This window comes from Homo sapiens, chromosome 22 (genome assembly GCF_000001405.40).
Source record: "Homo sapiens chromosome 22, GRCh38.p14 Primary Assembly".
Lineage (NCBI taxonomy): Eukaryota > Metazoa > Chordata > Mammalia > Primates > Hominidae > Homo > Homo sapiens.
This window is the reverse complement of record NC_000022.11, coordinates 27,596,325-27,605,314: the sequence shown is the minus strand read 5'-3', so window position 1 is coordinate 27,605,314 and position 8,990 is coordinate 27,596,325. Positions and strand designations below refer to the sequence as shown.

At 47.4% G+C, this 8,990-nt stretch overlaps 2 annotated features.

Moving 5' to 3' along the window:
- Positions 790-1,305: an enhancer, noted in NCBI's record as "H3K4me1 hESC enhancer chr22:27999971-28000486 (GRCh37/hg19 assembly coordinates)". NCBI's record gives its function as "activates a minimal SCP1, AML or CMV promoter by ChIP-STARR-seq in naive H9 embryonic stem cells {active_cell/tissue: H9 hESC(naive)}" and the evidence as "EXISTENCE:reporter gene assay evidence [ECO:0000049][PMID:30033119]".
- Positions 1,306-1,823: an enhancer, noted in NCBI's record as "H3K4me1 hESC enhancer chr22:27999453-27999970 (GRCh37/hg19 assembly coordinates)". NCBI's record gives its function as "activates a minimal SCP1, AML or CMV promoter by ChIP-STARR-seq in naive H9 embryonic stem cells {active_cell/tissue: H9 hESC(naive)}" and the evidence as "EXISTENCE:reporter gene assay evidence [ECO:0000049][PMID:30033119]".

Here is an 8,990-nt window from a genome sequence, read left to right as displayed (position 1 = left end):
TTCTTTTTTTTCTTTTTTCTTTTTCTTTCTTTCTTTTTTTTTTTTTTTTTGTGATGGAGTCTCACACTGTTGCCCAGGCTGGAATGTAATAGTGCTATCTTGGCTCACTGCAACCTCCACTTCCCAGGTTCAAGCAATTCTCCTGCCTCAGCCTCCTGAGTAGCTGGGATTACAGGCACCCACCACCATGCCCGGCTAATTTTTTGTGTTTTTAGTAGAGACAGGGTTTCACCGTGTTAGCCAGGATGGTCTCGAACCCCTGACCTCGTGATCCGGCTGCCTCAGCCTCCCAAAGTGCTGGGATTACAGGCATGAGCCACCGCGCCTGGCCTTGATTTTTCTAGCACTCTAGCACTTTTTAGCACTCATTACTATGCCTATTTCATATGCTGTTCCAGTTATCCGTTGCTGTGTAGCAAACTACCCCATAACTTAGTGGCTTAAAACAGCAACAATCATTTATTTGGCTCATTAATCTATAATTTGAATAGGGCTCAGCATGGACGGCTTCTCTGTTCCAAGCAGTGTGGGCTGGGGGCTTGATTGGAGACTGGAAGATCCCCTTTCAAGATGGTTCACTTCCGTTACTGACAAGTTGAATGCTGGCTGGGAGCTCCTCTTCCCCTCCATGTGGGCCTCTCCATGAGCTGCTTGGGGTTCCTCAGAGCATGGAGGCTGAAAGCATAAGGTGGAAGTAAATGACATTGTTATGATCCAGCCTTGGAAGTAAAATACTCAGTTTGTCAGGCAGTCATAAAGGCTTGCCCAGTTTCAAAAGAATGGGGATAAGGGGTCCACCTCTTGAACGTAAGAGGCAGAAGATATTGTTGTGGCCAGCTTTATAAAATACAATCTGCATGCGTCTATTTGCTTCTTTATTTACTGTCTGCCTCATTAGTTCTGGGACCTTGTCTTACTCACTGCTATATCCCTGGATTCTGGAACACAGCCTGTCAAATAGGTGCTCAATAAATGTTTGCTGATAACCTAAATGGAGAGATGAATGAAAAAACAGACAGAGATATAAAAAAGACAGAAAAGTGCAGAAAGAAGGGGAAAGAGACAGAGACATAAAAGGGGGAAACAGAGAGAGACAGACTTGGTGAGATACGGTCAGGGCCTGGCTGAGGGTACCTGGTCCAATGGCAAGGAGGCCTTGGGGGAGGGGAGGCAAGTGGGGGGGACACCTGCCGGGCCTGCTATGGGGAGGCAGGAGTTGGGCAGCTTCTGGGGACTGCAGCCTGTGAGCTGAGGCAGTGCCAGCCCAGGGAGGGGGGTCACAGGCAAGGCAAGCGAAGGCCACGTCCAGCAGGAGCCTGGGACCACAGCCAGCTGGGGCCTGGTCTGGCGGTGGTGGCTGGTATAGGCAGCTTCCCCTCTGAGCAATTTCCCTACGGCCAGAGCAGCCGCAACCAAGAGTAACGAAACAGAGGAATGTCGGTGACATTTTTCTAAAGAGGAAAAATGTGAAGTTTCCAGTCAAGCTGAAAGACTTACTGGGTTCGCAGTGAGGCTAGAGCTCACTTTTGAGAACAAACTGCTAGACAAGGGGCACAATCGAGTCCCCGGCAATGTTCACTCCTGGCCCAGCGCGACGCCTGCCGACACTGTTTTGACTACATTGTTCACGTTGATTTTCCTCCAATTCCTCAGCAAATGCAGACTCAAGACATCTTCAGGGATCGAATCAGGGAGGCCAAGAAGGCTCTTCAAAGAGAAGTGCCAAGCAAGTTGGGTGCCTGGGGGCTGTTGGTCTAGGGCACTGGCTGGGCAGGGGCACTGTCTGGGCACTGTGGGATAAGCTATAAAATTGATACCCATAGCTGGCACAATTTGCCCAGCATTTTTCATTTTTTCCACTGAGAAAGTTTGTCTGTCTGTCTGTCTTGCTCTCTCTCACCTACACAGTCTTATTTCTGACCCTTCTAGCAACCCCACCCGGCTCAGAGGGCTAAGGGACTTGCCCGAGCTGACACAATCAGCCAGTGGCTGGCCCAACGCTGCCCAGGTCTTCTGGTTCTTGGGCCACTGTGTCTTCTGAATGGCAGCAGTCTCTGGGTAAATGAGGGCATCCTGGCTAGTTTTCTGGGCTTCAACAGCTGCTTTGGGGACCTGCATTTCACACCTCCTGACCTATTTTCTGCTGCAAATGTCAATTCTCTAGTCCTTCATTTACTGGGTCATCTGACCAATGTGATTTTCAATTTTTCTGTTTTTCTATTGGAACATTGGTTATGTGTTTAGCTGTGGGCACTTGATATCTAGAACTCACCACGTCCCAAACCGAGCTCACCATCACCCACCTGGCTCTCCTCTGGGGTTGTCTCACACATAGCAGGGCCACCTCAGTCTTTCCTGGAGTCCCCCTCGACTCTTCTCCCCCTTACCCACAGTCACGACCACCTCAAAGCCTTAAGATTCTTCCAACTAAATCTCTTTTGAATCTGTCCTGCCCCTCCCCACCCTACTGCCGCCACTCCCTTAGGATCACCATCTTCTCTCTCCTCAATGACTACTATGGCCTCCCTAAGGTCATTCTTGCTCCTGTAACTTATCTTCCACCCAGCAGCCAGAGGTACCTCTTCAAAATGCAGATTACACCCTGCTTAAAGTCCTTCTTCTTGGAAGGACTTGGTTCTTGGGCCCCAGCTTCTCACTAAAGCCCGTGAGGATCTACAGGACCAGATCCCGTCCACTGCCAGCCCTACCTCCCAGGCCCCGCCCACAAATGCCCCTCCCTACCCTCCAGGCCCCGCCCACCCCAGCCCCGCCCACCTCTGGATATCTCACTTCTCTCAAGACCAAACCACCTTCCGTCTCCTTGAATGTTCCCTTCTCTCTCATACCTCAAACCTGCAACCCCTTGCCCTTTCTGCCTGGAAAGCCACAATACATTGAAATGATCTGCTTTCCTGTTGCTGTCCTGCCCCAGGCTGTGATTCCTTGGAGACAGAGTCTGGGCTTCACTCGCCTTTGCATTTCTAGCATCCATCAGAGACCTTAACACATCCTGGAGGCTGGGTGCATGCTCATTGAGTGAGTGAATGACTCCATCTTCTTGGTCAATCAAGTCCTAAGAAGAGGTGGTCTCAAGCACTGGGGCTTGACAAGGCACTTGGTGGGTTCCAGGGGCCTGGACATTCAGCACAGGAGTATCATGGGGTCCAGCTGTGGGGAGGTGGTCTTCAGGGCTGGGGGTAAAATGGGCTTGCCATCTGGGAGCTGTGAGCACATGGTTGTTCAGGGAAGACTGTCAGGCTAAGGTGGTTTGAGTCTTGTTTAGGGGACAGGGAAGGGAGCCCTACCTGCGAAAGGCATACTTTGAAAGGTGCAGTGGTTTGTGCAAAGGCACTGAGGCTTGAAAAGGAAACGGCTCCAGGATGCAGGGAGGGAGACATCAAACACCAAGGCTTGTCTGAAGTCACAACTGGTGCAATGTCAGTAAGACTGTCAAAGCTGAAAGAACCTGTAGAAACATCCTATCTAGCAGGCCGAGCGCAGTGGCTCATGCCTGTAATCCCAACACTTTGGGATGCTGAGGCAGGTGGATCACTTGAGGTCAGGAGTTCGAGACCAGCCTGGCCAACATGGTGAGACCTCGTTTCTACTCAAAATACAAAAATTAGCTGGGCGTGGTGGTGCGCACCTGTAATTCCAGCTACTCAGGAGGCTGAGGCACCAGAACGGCTTGAACTTGGGAGGCGGAGGTTACAGTGAGCCGAGATTGTGAGATTGCGCCACTGCACCCAAGCCTCGGTGATGGAGTGAGACTCTGTTCCAAAAAAATAAAAAGAGACTTTTTATCTAATCCTCCATGTACAGGTGGAAAACTGAGACCCACGATGGGGGAACTTGCTTAGTCACATAGCAGAGCTGGGCTTGAAAGCCAGGACTTCCAACTCTGAGTCCAGCTCTGTTTATTCAGGAATAGGCTTGTGATTCATTCTCAGGGGGAAACTGGGAGATTCTTGGCCTAGAAGAAAGCGTGTGGAGGCCAAGGAAGAGAGTCGCCAATTCTCAGACCCGTTCAGATCACCTCCATTTTACTTAAAGGGCGGTGGGTGTTTTAGATACACTGATTGCAGTTTCCCCAGAGGAAACGAGCTGTCGTCTACAGAGAAAAAGACCTGGGGCTGAATGCTTGGGGACCTGAAGCAGAGAGGGGGGAACAAAGAGAAGTGAACCTGACAAAGCTGTATGTCACTTTTCTTGCCAGCAGCTGCGCCCGTCCTCTGGGCCAGCCCTGCTGTCCATGGCCAGGGCAACTGGAGATCTCCAGCTTGGAAAATTGCTTTCTTTCTGATCCTGTTCCAGCCCTGTCCTGAAGGGCTGGATGGGGCTTCTGTCTAGACCCTTCATCAGCTGAGGCTCAGATATGATCATCATAACAATACATAATAATCTCTACCATCAACTGAACATTGCCTCTAAGCCAGGCATTGTGCATTGTGAGTCTTACTTCTTTTAAACTTCAGGAGTTAAGGATCTGTGATTCTCTCCATTTCACAGATGAGGAAGTGGAGGTTCGGTTGTCTGGTTTCAAATCCAGGTGCTCTGGCTTCAAAGATCTCAGGGATTAAATTCTGAGTGTCATGGATCTTCTGGAGACTGAGGCTCAATGTTCTCACTGCCGCTGCATGCTAGAAACTAGCTGGCCCCAGCTTCCATTGCAGTGTGTGTGGGCATCTCAGTTCTGTGATCTAAGGATACTGACAAGGCACAGTATCTTCCCCCAGATGCTTGATCTATTGGGAAGGCCAGGCTTCCCATAATATACCTTACAGAACATCCCAAAGGATGCCTTCCTGGGGTCTCATTAGATTTGAAACTCATGAAGCCTGGGACTGCATCCCTAGCACAGTGCCTGGCACTCATAAGTCCTCCATCAACTCTTGGTTAATATCATAACACACACACAGACAGACACACACACACACACACACACCCCAAAGTAAGCCAGGATATGTAATTGAGTAAGCCAGGACATGTAATAAGTAGATTATAATCAGGAAAGTGCTTTGAAAGGGCTACTACTTTATGTTTACCCAAGTGAGCCATGTTCATTATAGAAATACTAGAAAATTAGGGCAATAATTACACACTCACCCTCCATACTCCCCCATAGCCACTATTACTATTTTGGCAAATAACCTTTCAATTCTTCTAAGCTAAATGCAGGGTTGTTGCATTCCCTGACTCTGGAAGCCACCATACATGTCAAATTCTGAGTGGCCATAGTAATCCATTTCACAGCCTGGGCAACTGTGTATGGCAACCCTGGATATGTATATGTCTGTCAATATTTATTCTTTACAAAAATGACACCAAACTACACATACTGTTTGAAAAATTGTATTTCTTTTCTTTCTTTTTTTTTTGAGATGGAGTCTTGCTCTGTCGCCCAGGCTGGAGTGCAGTGGCACGATCTCAGCTCACTGCAAGCTCCGCCTCCCAGGTTCACACCATTCTCCTGCCTCAGCCTCCCGAGTAGCTGGGACTGCAGGTGCCCGCCACCACGCCTGGCTAATTTTTTATATTTTTAGTAGAGATGGGGTTTCACCATGTTAGCCAGGATGGTCTCGATCTCCTGACCTCGTGATCCGTCCGCCTTGGCCTCCCAAAGTGCTGGAATTATAGGCATGAGCCACCGCGCCCGGCCGAAAAATTGTATTTCTTACTAAAAAATACTGTCATCATCTTTTGTGTTAATACAAATCTCATTTTATAATGTTTAAAATAAATTACTGGCTGTTTTTTATTTTATTCTTTCCAATACCATGATGTACATTCTTTTTGGGCATTTGTCCCTTATGTTTTTGAGATAAATTATATATATATTTCAAGCAAGAGAATTGATGTTTAAGGCATTTGATACAAGCTGCCAAATTCTTCTCTAGGAAAGTTCCAGCAGTGTGTTGTTCCACCATTAATGCAGGAAAGAAAAGACCTAGGTAAATTTGATAAAAAAAATGCTGGGAAGAGGAAAAGGAGAGGGTATCATGAGGGTATTTGACCTCCTAGGGATCTGTGGAGTGGGCTTCCTCTTTAAGAGGTTGAGAGAAATACAGTCTGTTGGTGACTGTGCGGCCTCCTGGTCTGTTGTAATAAAGCCACAGCATCCCAACTTCTACCTTCGACTCTGCCCTGAATCTCTATTTGACTTTGAGCAAGTCATTTCCCTCTCTGCAGCCAAGTTTCTCTTCCTGCAAACTTGCAAGATTGGGCTAAATCTGGAATGGCAAATAAGATCACCTCATGATTGATTGGTAGTGCCTATCTTGGAGGTCTGTGTTGAGATTGTCAAGCTGTCTGAACTCAGCAGGAAAGAGTGCTGTGATAAATTAATAATGTCTGCCACAGCTGTGGGAAGTGGGATGGTGGTACTTTTGCCATGTATTTGTTATTCCAGGACTAGACACTCTTAGAGGCTCCTCAAGCTCTGAAAAGGCAGAGAGTTTTTCCTGATGCTTTGTTCCTCACAGATGTCTAGATTTGGGGGAAAGCTTCACTGAGTTAGTCAAGTGCCCCCATCTTGGTCTATCTCATTCTGGGTGTATTACAATGGAGCTAAGAGGAAAATGACATCCAATTTCTGTTTCTCAACCTTAATCTGCATCTCATGATATCGTCTTCAGCCTGCAGCAAGAGGATTGGGGATTTCCTGCAATTTCAGTATTCCATTCAGTTTTTATCATTTTAAGGTTCATGCGTTTCTAATTGTTATGAATACCATGGCAAAATTAATAGTTCTATGGTTGGTTTATTACATTTAGTAAAATTACGTGCATGCAGTGTTTGCCAAGAGATGATGCGGCAGGCTCCTTAATCATGTAAAGATGATAATTTAGTTGTTACACTTGTTGAAATGATGGGATTAATTTTTAAAAAGTTTGCAAACTGGAAGAGAAATGTAAAACATTAATTTAGTTAGACAAGCAAGCTGACAACTGACAAATCCTTTCAGCCAAACCTGGTAATGGAGATGCTACAGACCCAGTGGGAAGGAGGCTCATCAAGGAGGCATAGGCACTTTTAAGGAATTGGGAGCTTGAGGATAGAGTGTGCTGTGTGACTTTTGGGGAGACACTTTCCCTCTCTGGGCCTTCACTTTTCTTCTATAAAACAGGACCAGATGAGTAGTTTTCAAGCCATGTTCTGCAGAGCCCTAGGGCTTCAGAAAATGTCATGAGGGCTAAAAGAGAGGCAGGTGGGGTGAAGTTTCAGTGGAGGGGGCATCAGTTTTGGGGACCCACCAAGATTCCCTTTTTGGGTGCTTTCACCCTGATTTTACCTTAGGGAATCACTCTTTCCTTGTTATTAGTCCATGTGGTTCTGGAGGGATTATTTCACCTCTGACTCCAGAGGGTGCCATAGGACTCAGCAGGAGTGGCCCATGAGATCAGTGCATTGCCCTGGTAACCGTGATTGGCTGGGAACAATCACATGACTCAAGCCTGGGCAATCAGAGCTGATTAACCTTTTCCCTAGCACCATTGCTGGAACTGTCTAGAATGAGACTCTTTCCTTTGGGGGTGGCTGAGCAAGGAGGATGGGAGGCTACAGCTTTGGAGGCCATCTGGGTCATGATTTGGGAAGAGAATGTCTGAGAATGAAGCCAATGCAAAGGTGAGGAGAGCCAAGATACAAGGCAGATTCCCAATGTCATTGTTTCAACTCCTGAATCCAGGTCTACCTGATGTCTTGAGCTTTCCTGTTACATGGGCCCATAAATTCCTTTTTTTTTTTTGGGCTTCAGCAACTTCCAGTTGAATTTCTGTAACTTTTGACGCAAAGAATATCATCTCTTGCATTTCTTTCATCGCACTTCAAATGGATCCAATCTACATTTATCCATTTTATACTTTGGAATTCCATTTCAAAATTTTGCTTGAACACAGGATTCTGTCACTAAAAAGTAGGACTAGGACTAGATGATTCCCAAGGGGCTTGCTTTGCCGTGATATTTAGGTAATGACATAGGTGCGTGTGTGTGTGTGTGTGTGTGTGTGTGTGCATGTGTCCACAGTTGTATGAATTAGGTGCTGACACACACAGAGCAGGGAGGACTGACTCCAGGTCAGTTTTACTAAGAAGGACCATTTGAAGTGCATCCTGAAGGATTAATAGGAGTTTTCCAGAGAGAAAGAGAAAGTGAATGGGATTCCAGGCAGAGGGAACAGCATGTGCAGATGGCCTCAACGTGGAAAGACTGGAAGGCATTTGGGGAAGACTGGATTGTCTGGTGTGGCTAAAGTAGGCAGCCTGTGGGTTGTGAGAAGGTGGAGGCTTGAGGAAAGGACATGGAAAAGCAGAAGAGGCCCACTGTGAAGAGCCTTGAATGTCAGAGCGAGGAGTTGGATTATAGCTGGCAGCCACTGGGCAGCCATGATAAATTCTTGAGCAAGAGAGGAGCAGGGCCCATGGAGGGCTGTTTGCTGGGAATAGGAGAGACTGTGGGAGGGAAATTAGTCTTTCTGGGTGGCTGTGCTTGAGACTTCTGGTTCTTCTGTATGAGGCAGGAGGTGAGGGGGATCAGACATTCGGCTCTGGAAGGATCCCAGCTCTCCACAGTCTGCATTCCAGAGCTGGCTAGGCCTCACCATTCTCAGCACTGGAATCTGAGCACTACATTGAGGAGGGGGCCTGGGAGGCCGCTTCGTGGAAATTAGGAGGATGGGGAAGGAATTCCTGACTCTGCTGGCTCCATTTAACTGGCTGTGATTTATGGGGATGTTGCAGTAGTTCCCAGGGGGAACCAATCCTTTCCCACCACAGTGGAGGCTTTGAGTCTAAAGATATTATGAAAATTCCTACGAGTTCTGAGGGCCCTGTTTTCCTCTCCCTTGATGGCCCGTTTCCCCAAATCCACCATATGGGCTATGTTACATTATACTTCAGTGGCTTTTACTCATGCCATTCCATCTTCCGGATCACCCTTCTCAGATTTTTCATGCCCCAGGGTAATAGTAACAGTAATAGCCAGAGAACCA